Source organism: Homo sapiens, chromosome 3, assembly GCF_000001405.40.
Source record: "Homo sapiens chromosome 3, GRCh38.p14 Primary Assembly".
In the NCBI taxonomy this organism is placed as follows: domain Eukaryota; kingdom Metazoa; phylum Chordata; class Mammalia; order Primates; family Hominidae; genus Homo; species Homo sapiens.
This window is the reverse complement of record NC_000003.12, coordinates 188868643-188890688: the sequence shown is the minus strand read 5'-3', so window position 1 is coordinate 188890688 and position 22046 is coordinate 188868643. Positions and strand designations below refer to the sequence as shown.

Here is a 22046-nt window from a genome sequence, read left to right as displayed (position 1 = left end):
TTCCACACATAGGCAAGTAAATGTAATAAGAAGTTTATTGGATTTCTAAATATAATAAAGTAGTTGCAACTCTTTTACAGAAAAAAGAAATATAATTTCCATATTCATTCTTATAGAGCATTGAAAAAACATAATTGGTAGAGAAAACTGATAGAAGGTAAATAGAAAAACAGGTTTTAATATAGTCAGATAATGCATAAACACAAAAGAAAATACCTAAATCACTTGCTTATAACAGATTTTATTCTCTTATTTTCATACTGAACTATGTGTGCTATTTTGGATACATCAGTGATGGTTTGTAATGTAGTGAATAAATGCAATTTGCTAAGAATACAAGAAAAAAGAGAAACCTATATTTTAGGAATACCATGGCTCTGTCAGTATCACACATATGAAAATAGACATATTCTTTATATGTTTTTGTGTGCCTTTCCCTAAGTCAGGGAATGTTATTCAGACTAGCAGCTCATCACGGTGGGGCTATGATTGTGCTTAGCTAGTAGGAAGTGCTGCTCTTAGTAGACACATTTAGCATAGAGAAAACCCGGCTTCTCACCATCTCCGCCTTATCTATCCACTTGTAAACACCATTTAACCTTTACATAAGACTATCTTCCATGGTCATAATCATCAGATTGAAACTCAGAGCAAAGCCATGCTGTGTTTCTTCCCAGTCCATTTGTTTCCAAGGAAAAAAAAAATCTCTGTATCCCAACATCCTTATGACATTACACTGAAATTTTTGAACTCATTTTCCAGCGCTAAAATCTGATCCTCTAAAAAATAAAAAAAATGACTAGTGTGGAAATTGGACAAGGTAAAAACAGAAAAGGAACATCAACAGGAAGAGTAGGCATTTTTAGTGAAAAGTATCACCCTTTTGCCAAAGAGTCAACTGGATTCATCCAATGATGATGACTAGAGCAGGGTGGTCACACTCTTGAAATTATGAAACATAGCTGTTCCAACCTCACCCGTAGCTTATGTAATGGGGCTCCTTATATGGAAAAGAGAATGGTGGCTGACTGCAATGGCATGGAGTCCATCTTCCATAGTTTGTCCCCTTTTACTTCCATTTGGTAAAACTGGGTTAGGTAGGAGACAACTTTATGACCAAGAGGACACCAAGAGCTTCCTTGGATAAAGGTTAAGTGGAGGTATCTTGCTTTGCCCAAACAGAGGCATATTCAAGTGAATATGGAGCCAACTGACTTAGAAGGAAAGGGAACGACTTGGCAAGTGTAATCTGCCAGCTGGTTGAGTCAGACGACACATTGAGAACGATCTTTTTTGGAATCATGTCCTCCCTTCAACCCTTCTCCTACAATCATGCACTGTCTACCTCGTCCTATTTACATGGACCCTCTCCTATTGCCACCTCTGGGTAAGAATGCATCACTCTAGGCTATGCTGCTGCTCCATCAACAGTATTGACAGTTTTGTCAGTGATGGAACTATGGAAACAAAAGCCATCAAATAACATACACTACTATTTTTAGGAGTCAAAGTAATGCTCTAAGGATCTGGCAAGGACATTTGGCCCCCTGAGCTTCCAATCCCCACAGCCAAGACTTTTCTATTTTCTCTCATGTTAGCCTGAGAGACAAAAGGAGAAGGAATGTGCTGACACTTTAACACTCTAAACCCACCGATGCTTAGTTTATAGAACACACATATGACACACATCCTAATACAGACTACGGCTCTATTAATTCTCTTAAACATCTTTTTTTTCCCTAAATGTTTCAATGCCATAAAGCTTACATTCCCTTGAAGCAGAGTACAGGAAACCTTAGCAATATGCTACCATCCAGTAGGATATAAATATAAAGAAGCTGTATCAGCAAGGGATGCTCAGGGAATGTGTTTGCAGCCCGTTTCACGGTAGCCGCTTGAGAGGGGATATTGGAAGTGAGTGACTTTCTTTCATTTGGCAAAGTTTCCTTATCTCAGCACCTACTCTTTCTGATGGTATGTTTTTGAAGGCTGCACAGTACGACTCTGGGTACCGTGTGTACATACATATGTAAGGAATAACGTTTATGTTGCTCAGAATAGGCACTTTTTGAAGGCAGTAAATCTAAAAGTAAAGTTAATAGAGCCTATATTTAGTGCTCATCTTCTCACTTTGCTGATGTGTATGCTGAACAGAAGATCACAGATTTGAGTCAGTCTCGCAAAGAGGCCGGAGTCGGCAAATGGCTATATTCAGAGCTGGGGAAGTCTTGCCAACTTAACTGTAGCTGTTAAAAAGGCAGACTTGGAGAAGGTGCAATCGTTTTTCTCAAAGGTGACGGCACAGAAAGAGAAAAGGCATGAAATAAAAGCCTGTGTGCGTGGCTCAGGGAAAATTACTATCCTCAGGCTCTGTATCTTCACGCCACATCTACTTCATGGCACAGATTTGCTACTTAGAAAGTCCTTTCCCTTTCCTTTTTTGTATGTCTCATAATTGCACATATTCCCTTACTTAGCTGTAGAGAAAGAGAAGCCCTAAATCTGTTAGAGTAATGATAAAGGTGTAGGTTAAAAGACAAAACAAACAAAACAAAAGTGGTTTATTATACAGAAAACATGCAAAAGCTCAACGCTACATCCAACTGTAAAGGTTTCAGGTCTAAGTTTAAATTTTCACTTAAGGCACATTAAGCCACATGATAATTTTATACATGCCAAATAATCAGACAATCAAGTGTCATGTTTAATTCTATTTGCTCTTTGAGATATTTCTTGAAAAAGAATGAGGGCATAATTCAGATTTTCAGAGGGGAAATATTCTGACTTTGCCTAATAAAGAAATGAGTCTTGGATAATTTGCTCATCAGCTTTCCCAAGAGAGGAAATGGGTAGTAAAAGGAAGAAAGTCTTTTAAAAATAATTTTGCTACTACTTTACTATAAAGTCTTGGTGACAAGATTTAGTTTCTAGGGTCCTAAATGTCTTTCATCAAAGATACTCCTCAGTTCAGACTTCTCCATTATGCTAGAAGGATGGCATGGTCCCATGTTAGTTTCAATTTGCTGCCTACAGAGGGAGGACCAAGGCACTTTAACTATTTTTGGCACTATAATCCTGATATGTTGATGTATTTGACACAATTCTAAAAACTAAGCTCAAAGTATATAGGATTAGTAAAATGCAAACTCTGCCCAAATACCAACTCCCCATTTATTATTTGAAAGTTAAAACATGAGGCCATTCCTGTCGTTGGCATTTAAATTATAAAAATCTCTTTTACTCTCAAAGTTTATGTTTGAAGGAATGAAACACATTGGGCAGATATATCATAACCTGCTCAAGCTACTCTCCTATTTCCAGTTTATAATTACTAAGTGAGCATTGCTGTCACCCAAAGAGAAAGAGAGAGAAGAAGGAACTGACTTTTTCCCTTTTATACTTAACGTCTCCCAAGAAAGAATAAAAAAGGAAGAAATGTATCTAAGAAAAGCTAGCTCTTCCCATTTTGCATTTCTTAAACTAGTTTGGAAGCAGAGTTAAACAATTTGGGGGTGAGGAACGACATTCAGACTTCATATTTACTCTCTTGTGATGAAGGAAAGAGTCAAGATAGTAACGATTACTGCTATGCCTCGGGATAAAGCACAGCAGGCACCATACAAAGTGGCAACACAATACATCAATAATGACCAAGAATAGTTCTTTACCCTTTTCCCAACAGATAGAAATATAAAGAGAGAATCACGCATGAGAGATAAATACCTGTTTCCACCCCCACCTCAAATTGCTTTGGCATATTTTAAGAGATAAATGGATCCACACAAAATTTAACTAGCTTTTTCTTCTCCTTTTTAGCTGTTACAAAAATGGGTCAGGTTTAGGATTTATTAATTTTCTGGCCTGAAAACCCAAGTGCTTAAAAATAAGATTTATTTTCTGAAGGATCAGCTTTCTTGGAAGGGGTGTGTGTGTGTGTGTGTGTGTGTGTGTATGTGTGTGTGTGTGTGTTTTGAAGACAATACAATTGTATGATCCCTAAATATGGGAGAACATATTATGTAAAGTGAAATACGAAAATTTTTATTAGTTTTTTCTTTATATTATGTGAAGATAAATTAGATGATTTATAAAGGTATTTGAAAATAATGTTTTTCTAAAAGGCTGCTTTTTTCACATTTACCACCTCATTGTCTTTTTATTCCCTCTGATGAGACAACACAGATTCCACCCATGTGAGTCTCTACTCAGGCATACTAGATAATTCTGAGAAGTGCTCAAATTGTGTCTTCTATTAATCCATTCCTGGGGTGGGAATACTCTGTCTATTCGACAAGAATCATTTTCCACTCACTGGCCACAATATTCATCAAGCCTCACAGGGAGGTGAGGCACTTTTCTTTTTTTTTTTTAATTTTATTTCATTATTATTATACTTTAAGTTTTAGGGTACATGTGCACAATGTGCAGGTTAGTTACATATGTATACATGTGCCATGCTGGTGTGCTGCACCCATTAACTCGTCATTTAGCATTAGGTATATCTCCTAATGCTATCCCTCCCTCCTCCCTCCACCCCACAACAGTCCCCAGAGTGTGATGTTCCCCTTCCTGTGTCCATGTGTTCTCATTGTTCAATTCCCACCTGTGAGTGAGAACATGTGGTGTTTGGTTTTTTGTCCTTGAGATAGTTTACTGAGAATGATGATTTCCAATTTCATCCATGTCCCTACAAAGGACATGAACTCATCATTTTTTATGGCTGCATAGTATTGAACAGACACTTCTCAAAAGAAGACATTTATGCAGCCAAGAAACACATGAAAAAATGCTCACCATCACTGGCCATCAGAGAAATGCAAATCAAAACCACTATGAGATACCATCTCACACCAGTTAGAATGGCAATCATTAAAAAGTCAGGAAACAACAGGTGCTGGAGAGGATGTGGAGAAATAAGAACACTTTTACACTGTTGGTGGGACTGTGAACTAGTTCAACCATTGTGGAAGTCAGTGTGGAGATTCCTCAGGGATCTAGAACTAGAAATACCATTTGACCCAGCCATCCCATTACTGGGTATATACCCAAAGGATTATAAATCATGCTGCTATAAAGACACATGCACACTTATGTTTATTGCGGCACTATTCACAATAGCAAAGACTTGGAACCAACCCAAATGTCCAACAATGATAGACTGGATTAAGAAAAGGTGGCACATATACACCATGGAGGTGAGGCACTTTTCTAGTCTGTGAACGTGCATCTCAACCAAAGCCACCACTCTCCCGCTCCCATTAATGTCGCCCTTATTCCTCAGGCATGAGGACTAGGAAGGGGTGAGAAGTCATTTGCTATTTAACTTGGCTCTCATTAGTCCCAAGGAATAAGCAGGTGGATGATGATACTGGCTTGATGGATGATAACACTCCAGGGAGGGAAATGCATAAAACACTTATCAGGTGTGATTATTTTAAAGGATTCTTAGATTTAATGCAGGAGATTTAATGAGAAGAAATGATATTTTTTCTCTCACTTCACATATTTTAGGATATAGCAAACAATGAAAGGAGTGAAATGAGAGGAAATAAAAAGTGGAAAGCACACCCTAAAGGTACAGCTTCCTGAGGGACGCAGCTCAAGAGAAGGAACACTTGCTTGCTGAACTGTTACGTAGAGCAACTTCTAGAGCATACATGGAGACTTTCTAGGAGGTTTTTTGAAAACAACATGGTACCAAATTCCTTGTAATTATAAAAAATCACAAAATGACAGCATCCTGGGAAGCAAAGTCTATCAAATGGCAAAGGCCAAATCTCAGAAATGCCAACAGTTCCATAACATTTGTTTTCAGACATTGTTAGCTCATGGATCGGCTCTATCGGAAATGCCTGTTGCAGCAACATGCACGTGGTGTGCTCTCAGTAAATGTGAATGGAGAGAAAGACTAAAATGCATTGCTAACCTACGGCGGTTTCTGCCTCTGTGGAACGTACATCGTGGTTCATGGGAGAGAGGCTTCTTTTAGGAATCGAGTCACCTCTACATGCCAATGAATTCTAAATGATATGGTCTTGGTTGATATTCTGAACCTGACAGTTCCAGAGAGGTTTTTGGTGAATGGAATGTAAAGGAACTCTCTCTGGGGAAATTTATTGCAATGTGCTTCCTTCTGCCCATTGTTTGTTCTTATCAGTGGCCTTTTCCCACCAACTTCCTCACAGTGCTGATCAGACAGAATACCTAGAGGTTTCCCACAAGAAGACACAGATGTGTGCAAGCTCTAAATGATCTCTAAAGACCGCAGTACACATGTGGATTTGCCACCTGGCAGTCAATTGGTCTCTGAATTTCCCTGGATGACTGGGGGCTTGGTAGTCTGTAAGAAGTCGATATTGTCCTCTAAGGTGTTCTCAGCTGTGAGCGTGGCTACTTGGAGACAGCACTGGACTTGCAAGACCTGGTTATATCCCCAAATCTGCCACTTCCCAGCTATGTCACAGCTTTTGGCAAGTCACTTAATGGCTTGAGCCTCAGCTTTCTCTTCTAGAATAGGGGTACTAATAACTGTCCTCCCTGCGCTATTTTCTGTGTGGAAGCAGTTTGTAAGCTCTCTTAGGAATTACTATTTTACAGCTCAGAAAGTTACCTCCAGGTCCTGCCCAGGAGACTGATGGCAGTTTCTGCTTACAGTGCTCTCTCATTCAAAGTTGGGGTAGAAGAAGCCACAATCATGGTCTTCCCCATGACAAAGGTATATTATTTAAACTAAATAGTCATCCAGAGCAATGAGGAAAGCATTTGTACATTTCCATAGAAAACTATAGCATAATAGAACCCCTCTCCTCAAGAACGATATCCTTTTCCACAGATGAACTAACTAGAAATAATGAGTTTTCGGCAATACCACTATCTTTTGCTTTTGACTTCTTCCTTGTTAGACATGGGGATTATACACCAATATTTCCCAACCTTTTTTTTTTTTTTTTTTTTTTGAGACGGAGTCTCGTTCTGTCGCCCAGGCTGGAGTGCAGTGGCGCAATCTCTGCTCACTGCAACCTCTGCCTCCTGGGTTCAGGTGATTCTCCTGCCTCAGCCTCCCAAGTAGTTGGGACTACAGGCGCCCGCCAACACGCCCGGCTAATTTTTGTATTTTTTTTAGTAGAGTCGGGGTTTCACCATGTTGACCAGGATGGTCTCGATCTCTTGACCTCATGATCCGCTCGCCTCGGCCTCCCAAAGTGCTGGATTACAGGCACGAGCCACCGCGCCCGGCCCATTTCCTAACATTTTTAAGGTCATTATCAACAAGTCAGATAAAAGGGGTGTACTGTTCATGGGTTAGTTACTGGGGAAGGCATGAAGCTACACAACAACTGTCAGAACGGTCTGTCTTCTAAATAGGAAAGTACAACCAGCAACAAAAAAACTCACAAATTCTAATGTCTGGCCCTCAGAACATCCTTCAGACTAATTTTAGAGATTCTTAAAAATTCAAAAAAGTAATGCAATGCCCAAAACAAAACAAATATATATGGAAGGAAAAGGAGGGGGGAAGCAACACTGTATCATGTACTACAGGTTTTGTGTGGCACCAAAGAGAACATATGCCCCAAAGGCTGGCTCTGTTTTAAAGTCGTGTAGCTTGGAACAAAATGTGCTGAAAGAAATGTAAGACCTCAAGGAATAATGAGCTCCCTGATACAGGTGATGTTTAAGTAGAGTCAGAATTGGCACTTTGGGAGGCCGAGGCGGGCGGATCACGAGGTCAGGAGATCGAGACCACGGTGAAACCCCGTCTCTACTAAAAGTACAAAAAAAATTAGCTGGGCGCGGTGGCGGGCGTCTGTAGTCCCAGCTACTCGGGAGGCTGAGGCAGGAGAATGGCGTGAACCCGAGAAGCGGAGCTTGCAGTGAGCCGAGATTGCGCCACTGCACTCCAGCCTGGGCGACAGAGCAAGACTCCGTCTCAAAAGAAAAAAAAAGAATTGGCACTTAGCAATGAATCTGTAAGGGAATTTTAATACCAAGTAGAAAAGATGGCTGGGAAGTCCTTTCTAATAATGGACTCAGACTCAATAGGAAAATAGAGATGTCCTGCTTGTTCTTTTGTGGAGGGTCAAAGGACATGTACCCTTGCTGCAAGAATAGAAGATGTAGCTGTGGATCAATAAGAATGCTCATATTCTGTGATAATAAAGTTCATGGAGGGCTGCTTCCTGTCCATACTGTGCATGCTGGGTTATATTTTGGCAGATCATCTTCTCTTCCAATTATAAAGAGATGGGAAAAGCAAGTAAATACTTCCTCAGGCTTCCTCTATGCCTTTTTCTTCCCATTCAGCCTGATTATTTGGAAGCCTTTTTTTTCTGTTAAGAAGGAATTTCCAGAATCCATGATATTTTGGCCAATGCAGAGGGTCTTCTCTGAGTATAGCCCATGTTTCCCTGTTGTGCCTTAAATACTCTTTTCTCAACTTCTAAATCAAGTCAAAGAATCAGCTCAAGATTTCTTATCAAATTTTATGTACTCCATAAAGTCTTACTAATGTCACTGGAATGACTCTTCCTGATGTCACATTCCTTCCTATTGAGTAAGTACAGATTTAAGTGGTTGGATCTTATTACAGTTGGCCAGAATCAAAGTTACTTAGGGGCTGATTCTCTAACAGTGATTATTTGGTAATTATAAATTGAAGAGCTGAGTAAGAGATAAGGATGTTGGGAGAACAAAAAGAAAAGAAAAATATGGACTCCTAAATGATTAGAGAAAGAAGCTGCTCACTTTTTCTAACATGTAACGTCTCTAGGTACAAATATTTGAGCACAGAATGAATGAATCTCGAAATCAATCAACCAGCAAATATTTATGTATAACCTGTAAAGTGTCCATATATTAAAGTAGAACCTATAAAGTGTTAATATTTAATATGAAAATATGGAGGAAAAATGTCTTATTCTGAAGAAGACAAGGATAAAAGGAAAAGGTTGAATGGAATATGAACTGACCCAGAAGTGGGAATCTCATGGATGGCATATGCATTAGCTTGCTTCCTGTTTTCAGGATGAATTTGATTTTGGCAACATCCAAAATAGTACAGAACAAAAAGTAACAGAACTGTCTGTAGACATGGGAGTTCTATCCTTCTGTAGCTTTTACACTTCTGGGTCTGAGGTTTTTTGGGGAAATTCTCTTTGGGTGATTCCAATTTCGTTTACTTTCAACCCTAAAGAAAGCCTTTCAACCTAGCCTGACTCATGGTGAACTGCCAAGTTTCACTGAGTACACTGAAAATTAGAAAATATGTTTGTGTCCACTGTTTAAAGAAGCAGCAGAGAGTGATAGGACATGACACTATGTCAATAAGTGAAGAAAAGCTGAATGAGTTGGTGATATCAGACATGAAGAGGCAAAGATTTGGACTTAAGACTTGTTTTGTGGAGCTACAGAGCTAGAATAGACGTATGTGAGCGCAACTACATACTGGCCAGGACTAAGAAGATATGGGATGGTGATTCATCAGGAAAATAACAGAGAAGATTCAGATCTTTAAAAGGGCCATGATCCTATTTTTTTTTTTTTTTTTTTGAGACGGAGTCTCGCTCTTTCGCCCAGGCCGGACTGCAGTGGCGCTATCTCGGCTCACTGAAAGCTCCGCTTCCCGGGTTCACGCCATTCTCCTGCCTCAGCCTCCTGAGTAGCTGGGACTACAGGCGCCCGCCACTGAGCCAGGCTAATTTTTTGTATTTTTTTTTTTTTTTAGTAGAGACGGGGTTTCACCGTGTTAGCCAGGATGGTCTCGATCTCCTGACCTCGTGATCGGCCCGCCTTGGCCTCCCAAAGCATGATTCTATTTTATTTGGGAATAGCATTCGTGTTTGGGGGCAACTGTAACTCTCTATAGTGGTGTAGAACACAAGATGACATGGTGATGCTTCTCTTTCTTGGTAGAACATTCCATTCGTAGGGTAGAGAACTGATTTTAGAAGCTACATTCAGTGCCAAGTTGACTGAATGCGATTGTGGCTGTTTAATAACGTTTTTATTTGGGTATGTTACATAAATGCCCACCAGAGTTAAATGAATAAGGATTTCTCTGGCCCTTAAGTGGATGGGTATCTAGGAAAAATTAACAATGCCACATAACATGAAAGGCTTAATGCAATCATCTGAAAGTATTATAAAGGAATTAGCTGCAGTGTTTCACCCCTCTCTAGTATATGTAGGTGTTTGTAGAATATTAATTTTTATTTTTAACAAAGGCTAGATGTAGAGATATTTATTCGTGCATCAAGAGACTTCTGTCAATTAAATAACAACCAGAATTTAACAGCAAAAATTAGCACTTTTTTTTGTAACTTTGAAGGGGACCTGTCAATCAGCTAAAGAAAAAAACACGCGGGGCACGGTGGCTCACGCCTGTAATCCCAGCACTTTGGGAGGCCGAGGCGGGTGGATCACGAGGTCAGGAGATCGAGGCCATCCTGGCTAACACTGTGAAACTCCATCTCTACTAAAAATACAAAAAAATTAGCCGGGCGTGGTGGCAGGCGCCTGTAGTCCCAGCTACTCGGGAGGCTGAGACAGGAGAATGGCGTGAACCTGGGAGGCGGAGCTTGCAGTGAGAGGAGATCGTGCCATTGCACTCCAGCCTGGGTGACAGAGCCAGACTCCGTCTCAAAAAAAAAAAAAAGAAAAAAAGAAAAAAAACGCATCTTTCACACAGCTCTCCACAAAATAAGGGACATGCATGTTGTAACTAAGATAGAGTCCACAATTTTTTGCACAAGGGCCAGGAAAATTAAATAGAAAAGGAAATTAGTGTCCTTTTTTCTGGATTGAAGGGAAATTCTGCCTGTAGTCTGTGATCTAAGAAAAACTGGTGCTGTCCAACCTGCTGAAAAATATTTTAGTATCAACTATTACAATATATTATTAGTCTTACAGGCTAAGTGTTAATCTGTGTTAAAATTCTGAAAATACAATAGTTATTCCTTTGCTATAAGGAAAGTTATCAAGCTGCAATGGAATAAAATAAAATGCCATCATTAAAATTATAATTTTTTGGGGTTACATTGCTTCAGACTTAAAAAAAAAATCTTAACCTAGTCTTTGAAAGATTACTTTGCATACAGCTGAGAAAACTAGATCAGTCACAAATGAATTTTCCAAGAATCTATGACCTCAGTCCCTGATGAAAATTCATTAACATGAAACAGAAAGACTCTATTATCTCATTTCACTTTACGAATAAATACAACCTAAAAAATATGCCCCTATAAAAGAAGATTTTATGGATGCCACATATATTTTCTGGTAGCCTTCCCCTTATGAATATAATCATAATTCCCTAAAATCATAATGCATTGATTTAATTTACAAAAAATCCAAGTACAGCAACACTAATAGGTAGGATGGAAAGTAGGAAAGAAAATAAGAAGAGGAGGAAGGAAGAGGAAGAAAGGAAGGGAGGAAGAAAGCAAGAGAGGAAGAATCCTTACCAAGTCATAGTAGCTTCAGTCAGGTAACTTTTTAAGGTTTGAAATAAGGCTATGCTAACCAAACAACAGCCTCATGAGAAAAGTTTCATTCTAGTTATCTGTCAAGTGAATAACTTGGCCTGAAATATTCATGGTTGCACCATATTAATGCCTCACTGAGAACAAGTTTTGAACTTGTCTGGACCACTATTAAGCAAATACAATGAAGACAATTAAAAAATATGCTGAATGGTGGTAAAGAATCAAGTTGAAGTCTCTGTCCTCATTATCTGACTAAAACTACTGTAAAATCAAATAAAAAACACTAACATCCATTATATCACCTTCTGGCATAAAAATGTTTTACTCATTTAAAGACCTATGAGATACTTCCAAGACAAGGAAAAAATAAATACTACTAGAATATATTAAGATGAAAAGTTGACTTCTCTCTCTTTCTTTTCTTTCTTTCTTTTTTTTTTTTTTTTACTTTTTTACTTTTTGGTGAGTATATTTTTGAGATTTGGTGGTTATCATTTACATCATTGACTCTTCAGTGGAATATTCATAGTAGTGTAAATAGATTCTTTGAAAATAAGGCACAAGTATATGTTGTTCTCTGATTGTCTCCCACGAGAGTGCACCAAACGAGCGATCCCAAGAAATGGACTTGAGGCACATTTTGCAGAGGTGTCTTTTTCAGTTTGCTGGTTTCCCACAGATGGCTAAAGCAGGGGTATGGAACATGCTGTCATATTTCATTCATAACACACATGTACTATAGCTCTAGGCAACAGATGGACAATCGCTTGTTTGAACTACAAATGTGAAATACTAAGGTAGAATAGCAATATTTCTAGAAATGTATATGAAAAAATAAAGCCTTTCCAAGCCAAGAGGAATGGTGAGAGGCTTTGAGGTTACATCAGTGTTTCCCTGATCTCCCTAGCAGCTGCCATAATTTCCCCAACACCCTTCAAAACTTGATAATGGAAGGATCAGGGGGCAGCCGACACAGATTTGACAAGAGAAGCCCAAACCATATCCAATAGAAATAACACTGTTATTCCTGGCTGGTTCACATTAATAGGATTTTTACTAACTAAAAAAATGGCTGGAAGTTGTGTTTTCAGAGTCCTGTCTATATTCCACTAACTCTCTACTATAGCCCCATGGAAAAAGCCCTCTCTTTCTTCCTCTGTACCCAAATATAAAATACTTGTTTAAATGTAGAGTTTCATATCCTTTAAACCTCACCATAAACATCTCTGTGGAATCTTTCATAGGGAACAATTATAGTGTTGATAAGTCCACCCCCTTAATCAGCACATACCCAGAAAAGTAATTTTGATCAGAGAAGTTGCTCCTACAGAAATAACAATGTGTTAATGACAAGAAAAAGAACCCACATCTTTGAGCTGCAGAGATGCCAGCATCTAACAACCTGATGCCTTATGCTGGGACACATGACTTATTTTTGAGTCGATTATTTATTTATTTGTTTTTTTAAACAAGCGCATGCCACCATGTCTGGCTAATTTGGTTTTTATTTTATTTTATTTTTTGTAGAGACAAGGTCTCACTATGTTGCCCAGGCTGGTGTCAAACTCCTGGCCTCAGGCAATCCTCCTGTCTCAGCCTCCCAAATTGCTGGGATTACAAGTGTGAGTCACCACACCTGGCCTTATTTTCGAGTTTTAAAGGCAATTTTCTTGGCCAGTGAGACTCCATGTTGAGTCAGTATGGTCTGGGGGTTGAAAAATTTAAGAAATCCTATTTTGATATGTTCTGCAGAGCCCATGATATAGTGGATTTTTTTCCTTTTCCATGTCTCTCTTGTTACACAGAATTACCAAATATTTATATTCCTGATACTTTTCAAAATCAGTATATTTTTACAAACTTTCTGTTATAGACTCTGATTTTTCTACTATTTATGTATTTAAACCACAACAATTATGATATTATATCAGCAGACAGTATGATTATAATCATTAAAGTAATACAATCTTTTTCTCTCTGTTGCAGGCAAAATTTCATGCAACTAAAAAAGAGTGACTTGGCATTGTTTAAATCAAATGATTAATAGAAAAGACAGTAATATAAATCATATATTTAAGAAACCCTAGAATAAAATATTGTAGGATCCTTTCCTTATTATACCTTGTGAAAGAAAAAAAAAACTCTAAATCTAAATGTTTCTACATATGTATGAGTGCACATTCATTATTATAAAAGAATAAGTCTATCTTAAAAAGAGATTTACTTTAAAAACCTTTGGTAAAGATACTCTGAGGTTATGTTATAAGAATGCATAATAAAGATTGTAAGCAAGCAGTATTCTGCTGACGATGCCACAGGGATGGGTCTGTGACAGCATTTTCTTACAGCTTTTCCTCTTGACATGTAAACATTCAGTTACACAAGGATTTAAATGTAATAAGCAAGTAGAATGTTACTGCATTTTATAGTATAAATATTCAATAAATTCTTCTTCTTTTGGCAAAATTAATAATAATATGACCACTTTAAGAGATACAATCTATCCCTCAATAAATTGGACTCTCTGCTTTGTCCTAAAGAGAATTTCTCCGAAAGTATTACATAAAAAGTTACTAAGTCAAAATTCAAGCCGATTACATTATCAGCCCTATTGTCAAATAGTCAGTGCTACTTGAGGTCATCAGCATGGTCTGGCTTCAATTTGGAAGACAGGAATTCAGAGACACAGTTGACATTGCCTCCCAAAACTAACATGCTGCCCCTAAGTGAATCTCATCATATTTCACATTATGAGAAATATACGATCAAAGATAAGAGAACTAGGGTAAGAAAAAGACAGTGGTCAAAGGAAGCTCTTAAAAGCTATAATTTTGGTGGTTCTAACACAAAACCGTTTAGTGACAAAAGCAAATGAGCCATACATTAAGGATGAGCTATAGTGACCATCGGCTTAAGAATTTCTAGTCACAAAAAAAGAATCACTTTTATGATCATTCCTATTCAAGTAAAATAAATTTAATTGGAATTCCTGAGGAATAGTTTGCAATTCAAAACACGTATCCATAATTTTTTATTTCAGTTCTGATGTTAAAATTAAAAACTAGAAAAAAAACTAGAAATCTGAACATCACTTCACAATAATGAAAAAGATATCTGTGGAATAAGGAAACGGTACATTGGAGGATGTAATTATACTTGTTATATTTGGTGTCTTAAACTGGGTATTAGGTATATAGGAATTCATTATATTATTATTTATACCTTTTTGTAGACTTAAAATACTCCATAATTTAAAAGTATATACTTGTGGGAGATTTGAAGAAAGATTTAAGAAATCTCAGTCCAAAATCCTTAGTTTACAAAATGGCAACTTGCCATGACTAAGCTAGGTGTCTCTCCTTAAGTGAAACATGTTCGAACTTAATAAGTATGGCTTGGCAGTTGGCAAGCAAGTGTTTCACTGGCTAATAAAAGTTTGAATAAAGATTCTAGGCAGAGATTCTGCATATTTTTAGCTCATAAAGACAATTTTTGTTTCAGTGATTGTCTTTGAAAGTGTGGTGTAAATGTCACATTGATGATATGAAAATGTCTCCTGCAATATGTAATTTCAGTTGCAGAAGGATTATGAGAATAATGAAACTGTGGTTTCAGAATCTTTTCAAGCTTTCTACTCTTTTGAAAGTAAACCAAACAAAACTGCACAGTTTTATTTTGTATGCTCTGATTTGCAATTGTCAGGCAAAATGGACCTGGTAATAAAAAAGAAAAAGAAGAGAATTTGAACGGTTTTTTCACAGCCTTCATCCTCTAGAGAAAAAGGCAATTTTGATAGTTGTGTTGGATATTAGAATAAACATGACAATATTTTTAAGATGAGAAGTGGGACAGTATTGAAAATGTTATCTTCTAGAAGAAATCAAGTTTGTCTGTATTACAATGTTCAGGTAGTGCGGAAAAGAAAAATCTTAAGGTAATATTGTGGGACAATAATGTTTTTTTAAACATAACCCCAAAATGCCTTTTCTAGCATATCCCACCTGTAATTTCTTTAGAAAAATATTGAAGCTTGGTTGTCTGTCACTACTTATTAGCTATGGGCCGATAACTCTTTTCCAATTAGCCTTGATCACTGGTCACTATAGATTCTGAATTCTGATGGTTGCAAATTAAATTTGGGCTTGTTCTAACTTATGTAATTTACAGCTTAAATTCTTTACAGCCTAACAAAAAAAAATTGTGCATTTCCCTCCCCAAGGACGTGAGTAGTATAAAGCAAGAGAAGAATATCCTCTTCAATACATGGGAAAAGAATGGCTACTCTTTACAGTCACAGGCAAAACGGAAATGATAGGATGGAGATTTCAAGCCTAAAAGCACCTGTGAGTTGGCAGACTCACCCAGGAAAAACTATGTGACAGCAAATACCACACTAAGAAAAGCCATTCAACCAGATGAAAAGTGAGACAAACATAGGGATTAAAAGTTACAGGAATGCAGAAGTGAATGGGATGGAGCATAATCTGTGCAAAAATGTGGAAGTCCTTGGGAACAAAGGCCCATCAAGATCCTACATGATTCAATGTGAAATGTGTATTTGGTAACAACTTTTAAAAAAAATCTCATAATTTATGTGTTTCTAAGGCAAGGTTAATAGCAGATGAAGAACAGAGACTATCGCGTAGTTTGATGGCCTTTACTCTAGTATTTCTTATCTTTTTCTTGTGTTCGTTCTTCTCAGTGCCGGCTGAACAGGTGACTGAATCTAAAGGTCAGTGCTCGCCTTGGCGGTCAACACCCTGATGCGGGCAGAGTTGCAGGTCTTGCAGAGGATGTGCCCATCCAAGGGGTAGCAGCCTTGGTTATCTCCTTCAGACAGGAGACCACCGCAATCCTAGAACAGTAAAGACAGATGGAAACGACATAAGTAAAAACGTTAAGTACACATGTGGAGAACATCATGATTGAGCTTTCTATTCAAGGCCTCCATAATGTGGCCACTTACTATCCTTCCTGCTTTACATTCTGCTAATCCCCTGTATCCTTTCTCCCAATATATAACATAGTATATCTTGAATGTAATTGAATTAGAGATTGGGGACATAAATATAAATGGACATAAATATAATCCTCCTAAGCTCACTTGATATGAAATACAGGTATAAGAAGAGAAGAGGCCACCCATCTTGGCTCCCATGTAGAAGTTTGCTGCCCCCACTCAACAAGAGAAAATAAGAATGTCCCTAACCACCGATGCATTTTTTACCCTTTACCATTAGTTTAAGGATCTCTCAAAATGCATGCACAGGTACAGGAATGGAATGTTTTGGCCATTTCTGGCCTAGAGCAAAGGTAGACTGATGTCTGCCAAGCAGAAGGGCCACCAGTGGGTTCGGTGTATTTACTTCAACTGCAGTAAGAAAATAAAATCCTAAAGTTTGTGGGGAGTAGTGGTTTGCTGTACTTTCTAAAGGAGACAGCATTGTGGAGAGCAAAGATTGCTAGTCCAGGGGACAGGCCTCCTGAGCACCACCCACAGTTTTGCTACAGTCTGCCTCAATGCACACAGGCCGACTGCCACTCTGAAAATAACTTCTGCCTTTTCTACCTTACCAAGCTGTTAAGAGGATCAAAGAAGATAATGGATCAAAAAAAAAAATGCAAAGAACTGCATAACTGTAAAGGAATATACTACCGCTGACAGCTCCTCTTAGGGTCCATTTTGAAAAGTGTTATATAACAGTTAAATGCTGGCCTTTGTCTTTGGAGAAAATAGAAGTTTCTTTGGAAAATAAATACATAGTACTTCATCAAGAGGTGTGTGTTTGCTAACTTTAGTATAAACTCTCAAAGGCCACAACAGCTATGAACCTCGCCTCTGCTATCTACCATGGTGGCAAGGAGGTCAATGGAGTTCATGTCTTCATTTGACATAGAATGAAATTTAAGTTAACGGGGTATCCAGAACACAATAGCAGCAATGGTTATACTCTGCGGGAAGTTTGGCTTTACTGAAAAGAACATGCAGATATACTGCAGCTCTAGAGGCGTTCAGGAAACTGAGCAATTAGTAGTGCATGCTAACAAATAAATAAATCTCCATGACTCTGAACAAGAAGTTCTAACCAAAGCCTCAGAGCCAAAGTTAAATGTTCAATAACACCATTTCTCACTAATTTAGTATTTCACAATTTACAATGTCCTTTAATATACAATTTTGTATTTCACTCTCACAGCCATATTTGGAGGAGTTAAGGACTTGAGTCCTTTCTTCCGGTGAGCAAGCAGACTGAGAGAGGTACAGTGACTTATTCAACAGCATGTGCTCGGAATACTAGTGTCAAATCTAAAACCCAAGTCCTATGAGTACAGGCACTAAGGCCGTTCTGAGATTTAGTAATTGCTACATCTATGTAAACCTAGCTCGAACGAGCCTTTCAACGCCTGCCACAGACTGGCAGGGCAGGGCTGTCAACCAGACCTCGCATCGGTAGCAGTGAACATGGAAATCTCGATCCAAAGCCACAATACGGACAGTCTCCTCCTGGCCCGGGGCTGGCATAATAGGCTCCTTGCACACAGAACATCGCGGGGCAAATTTCCTGAAAGTGAAGAGAGAGTTCTGGTTAGATACTGCGCGTCGACACTGAGGTGGGACGCAGAGGTAAAAGGAAGAGGTGGAAACTGAGAGTCGGTATACCTGCTTCCTCATCCGTAAGGTGAGGGAGTTAGACTCAGGGACTGTGGAGGTTCTTCCATCAATCGGTGGTAAATATTGTGATATTTGGCGAGGTGAGAGAGTGAGCGTGTGAATTGCTTGGGCATGAAGAGCATCTAGCATCTCTTTCCTGCATGGTGCGCGGTATGAAATTCATCTTTAGATAGATTCTGAATGCAAACCCTGTGCTTGGGATAGGCTAACTGGAGGAGAGAACAAAGTCCTGTCCAGCCCCTATTTGTTTCTGACTTTTGTTTCTAGACTTTTGTATGCACTCCTTAGGTCCTAGAAAAATAGTCTGAGGTTGGTATCTTTGCCTTGTTCCCACCTTTTAGAGCTTCTTTCTTGGAAATTTGCCTTGACTTCTAGGAACTGACATAAGAAGACTCAAATACATAGCTTTTCAAAAGGGCAGAGGTTAGTGCGTTTAAATATACATTACACAAAACTTAAAAGTGGCCAAGTCTGCATTTCCTACATTTTTTATTGTGTTAAACTTTTGCTTAAAAATTAAAAGTTAAAGAGCTATCAAATTCTTTATTCTTTAAAGGATTTTAGCACTGTTAAAGGGTGAGTGTATACTAACACACATACACATACATATACATATAAATATGCATATGCATATGTTTTTGAGGCTGCTGGTAAATACTTTTAATACTTATTAATTTCTTAGTATTTCTCAATATGATCAATGGTACCTAACAATTTTTTTTCTATGACAGGTTAATTGGCTGAAAATATAAGCCATGTATCTCTCTGTATCTTCTGGAAATTGGAGATGGTATTTGTGAAGGTATGAAATGACATATTATTTGAAATGGACCTGGATAAGAACTGAAGAGATTTAAAAAAAGAAAAACAGACTGTGACTCAGTTTTTTCATGGTACTGGTTTTAAGATAAACGATGTTAAAAATTTATCTATTTGTAGTGAGACTTAAAAAGAAATAATGATAATAATCTAACTCTTTGCAGAGCACGTTACGGTTGTCAAAGCATTTCTACATACATTATATTCTATATGTAGGTAATTAATTTTCCTGGCAGCACCCAAAAAGCATCTGTATGGCTGCAATCTAAATAAATATGAATTAAGCAGCAGATCAATTGATTGCTGTGAAAGAAAAGTTAGAAGGATCATGGTACCACTGCAGCAGTAATCAGAGTTGTTATAATTGGTATTTTATGCAAGAAGTTTATATTCAGTGGCAAAAAATTGCTTTGGACTACCAGATTATTTTTAAATCTGGGTCATCAGTGGTGAAATAAGTAGGCTTCTGGGATCAACTGCAAAATTTCCTTTCCCCAAACTCTGTGGGAGCAGAAGTATGTTTTCCTTTTCAGTGTATCCATAAGCCTTCTCCAATTTCCCCAAATAGAATTATTTACTCCTCTAAGATAAGAATTCTGTCATTGAATTTATCCATTTTGGTAGTAATTATTTGGATATATTTATGGGGCACTAAACTCTAAGTTTCCACAAGATAGGACTTTGCTCCATCTCTGAGTCTCCAGGAACAACCACTGTGACTGGTGCAGAAAAAAAAAGTTGGGCTGTATCTAATGAAATGAATCTGCCATATTTCTGTATAAAAAAAGATATTAGTTGGGCTTTATGTTCAATCTCAAGGTTCTTCCTCTTTGGGAAGACATAAACTGTATTCTTGCTGAGTAATGATTCTTTCCTACCAATTGGCCTCATTTCCATAATGAGAAAAACCAAAGCGAAGAGGCAGGAGGTGGTTCTCATAGTCCCCACAGTGTTCCTCCGATAGCAATTCGAGGAGGGCTCACAATCCCAGGTGGTCTATTTCAAGGCTTAGCTCACTGAGTGGACAATAATCGTAAAAGTAAATTTGATGAAAACAACTTTCGATGATTAAAGCTACCATTTATTGAGTGCTTATTATGTGCCAAGCCCTGTTAAGTGCTGTACACACTTGACGTAATTTTCTACTGACAGCAACATTATGAGGAAGTATTTTTATCATTTCTACTTTACAGCCAACAGAGCGAAGGCTCAGAGAGGGATGATCTTGGTCATCTTGTATTCCGGCACATTTCTGGCAATCAACTAATGGATGCTGATTAAATACATAAATGAATGAGGGTAATATTCCTGATAAGAAAGCACAGATAGGGGAATAAAGCCTCCATACATGCAAAGAGTCAGTTAAAGAAATCTGCTTTTCTGGGTTTTCTCACTGGGAATACAAGAATAAGCAACGACTTCCAGTACAGACCTGAGAAGGAGTTCTATATATTTCTGCAGTATTTCTATTAATTTATATATACAAATCCTTATTGCAAAAATGATACAAGATGATTATTGTAAAGTTATATATATATATACACAAACACACATATGTATATACACACACACACATATGTATATTTCTATACCAGTCAGACTGTGGTAAGTGCTATCTACAGCAGACTTATAAAACTCTATAAAACACAGAGATTAAGATGTAAATCTAAACTTGAGAAAAGGGAGGGGTGGAGATCAGAGAAGTTTTCTTCCAGGAAACGGTAATTGAGTTGGGCCTTTAAAGATAACCATTTAGGTGAAATGAGAAAATGTGTACGTGTGTGTTAGGGTAGGGGAGATAGTCTTCCAGAAGACTGCAGTGGTTGCAGCGGTCATCTGAAATGACATATGTGAAAGATTGCATGTCCAGTAGGCTGGAGGATATGAGTCAACATTGACCAAAGGTGTTTATGTAGAGGATGGTCCATTAACAAGTTCTCAAAAACAGTATTCCAGAACCTTGTTACACAAAGTGCAGGCCATGGGCACCTGGGAGCTTGACAGAAATCCAGAATCTTAGGCCCCACTCCAGACCTGAATTAAAATCCAAAGTTTAACAAGATCCCTCTGTGGATTACAGGCACATTAAAGTTTGGGAAGCACTGGTTTAAAACGCAGACTAAGGCTGGGTGCAGTGGCTCACGCCTGTAATCCCAGCACTTTGGGAGGCCTAGGCGGGTGGATCACCTGAGGTCAAGAGTTCAAGACCAGCCTGGCCAACATGGTGAAACCTTGTCTGTACTAAAAATATAAAAATTAGCCAGGCATGGTGGTGGGTGCCCGTAATCCAAGCTACTTGGGAGGCTGAGGCAGGAGAATTGCTTGAACATGGGAGGCAGAGGTTGCAGTGAGCTGAGATTGTGCCACTGCATTCCAGCCTGGGTGACAAGAGTGAGACTCCATCTCAAAATAAATAAATAAAATAAACAAATAAATAAATAAAAGGCAGGCTAAGCAGGTGAGGTAAATCCCTTCTTATGGGTCTCCTGTATCTCAAGGTAATCTCTACTCCCAGGCTGCTCTAGTTACAGCAAAGCAAATCTCCCTGAACACAGAGAACCCTTTACTAACTCTGTGCCTCTGCTTTTTGCCTGAGTTGTTCCCTCTGCCAGGAATCTCCTTGTTTCCCACTTAAAACACTCTTGACATTCTCCGTCCACAAAGCCTATTCTGACCACAGAGCCAGGTGATCTGACTTTGACAGTGCAAGCCCTTACCTGTGCCTGTCTCATGGAGTTCAGCCCTTTCTCCCTGTCTGCACACTTTCTCTGCCCTCCTCCTGGCAAGCTCCTTGCTGACAGTGACTTCTCTATATATATCTGCACAATTTCTCTCCTTGTATCTCTCTCCTTCAGCATTTAATGCAACAATTGGCACACAGAGGGTTCTTTATAAATGTGAGTTGAACTGAATTAACATGCATTTTCTAAAGGTCCACAAAAGGAGACCCATTCAAAAGGACCACAAACAAGGCCCCAAAAACTGTCTGGAGGAGGAATATCCCTTTGTCTGCCCTCTCTTTGGTCTTTCAGTGATTAGCCTATGCTGGACTTTTAGCTGCTTTGTATTCT

At 38.5% G+C, this 22046-nt stretch overlaps 1 protein-coding gene across 50 annotated transcripts in view, besides 2 other annotated features; it reads right to left on the bottom strand.

The window, feature by feature from the left end:
* The window catches only part of LPP (LIM domain containing preferred translocation partner in lipoma), a 737651-nt gene continuing 715622 nt past the window's right edge, over window positions 18-22046 (bottom strand). For all 50 annotated transcript variants that reach the window (NR_164692.1, XM_047448103.1, NM_001375457.1 and 47 more), the window contains 2 exons: window positions 17926-18046; window positions 18-16338 (listed from right to left, as the gene is read on the bottom strand). Coding sequence is in view for 49 of the 50 variants with exons in the window: in XM_047448103.1 (XP_047304059.1) it covers window positions 16210-16338; window positions 17926-18046 (250 nt within the window). In the remaining variant the exon portion in view is untranslated. The remainder of the gene's footprint in view (window positions 16339-17925; window positions 18047-22046) is intronic.
* Window positions 7323-7822: an enhancer, noted in NCBI's record as "H3K4me1 hESC enhancer chr3:188600655-188601154 (GRCh37/hg19 assembly coordinates)". NCBI's record gives its function as "activates a minimal SCP1, AML or CMV promoter by ChIP-STARR-seq in primed H9 embryonic stem cells {active_cell/tissue: H9 hESC(primed)}" and the evidence as "EXISTENCE:reporter gene assay evidence [ECO:0000049][PMID:30033119]".
* Window positions 7823-8324: an enhancer, noted in NCBI's record as "H3K4me1 hESC enhancer chr3:188600153-188600654 (GRCh37/hg19 assembly coordinates)". NCBI's record gives its function as "activates a minimal SCP1, AML or CMV promoter by ChIP-STARR-seq in primed H9 embryonic stem cells {active_cell/tissue: H9 hESC(primed)}" and the evidence as "EXISTENCE:reporter gene assay evidence [ECO:0000049][PMID:30033119]".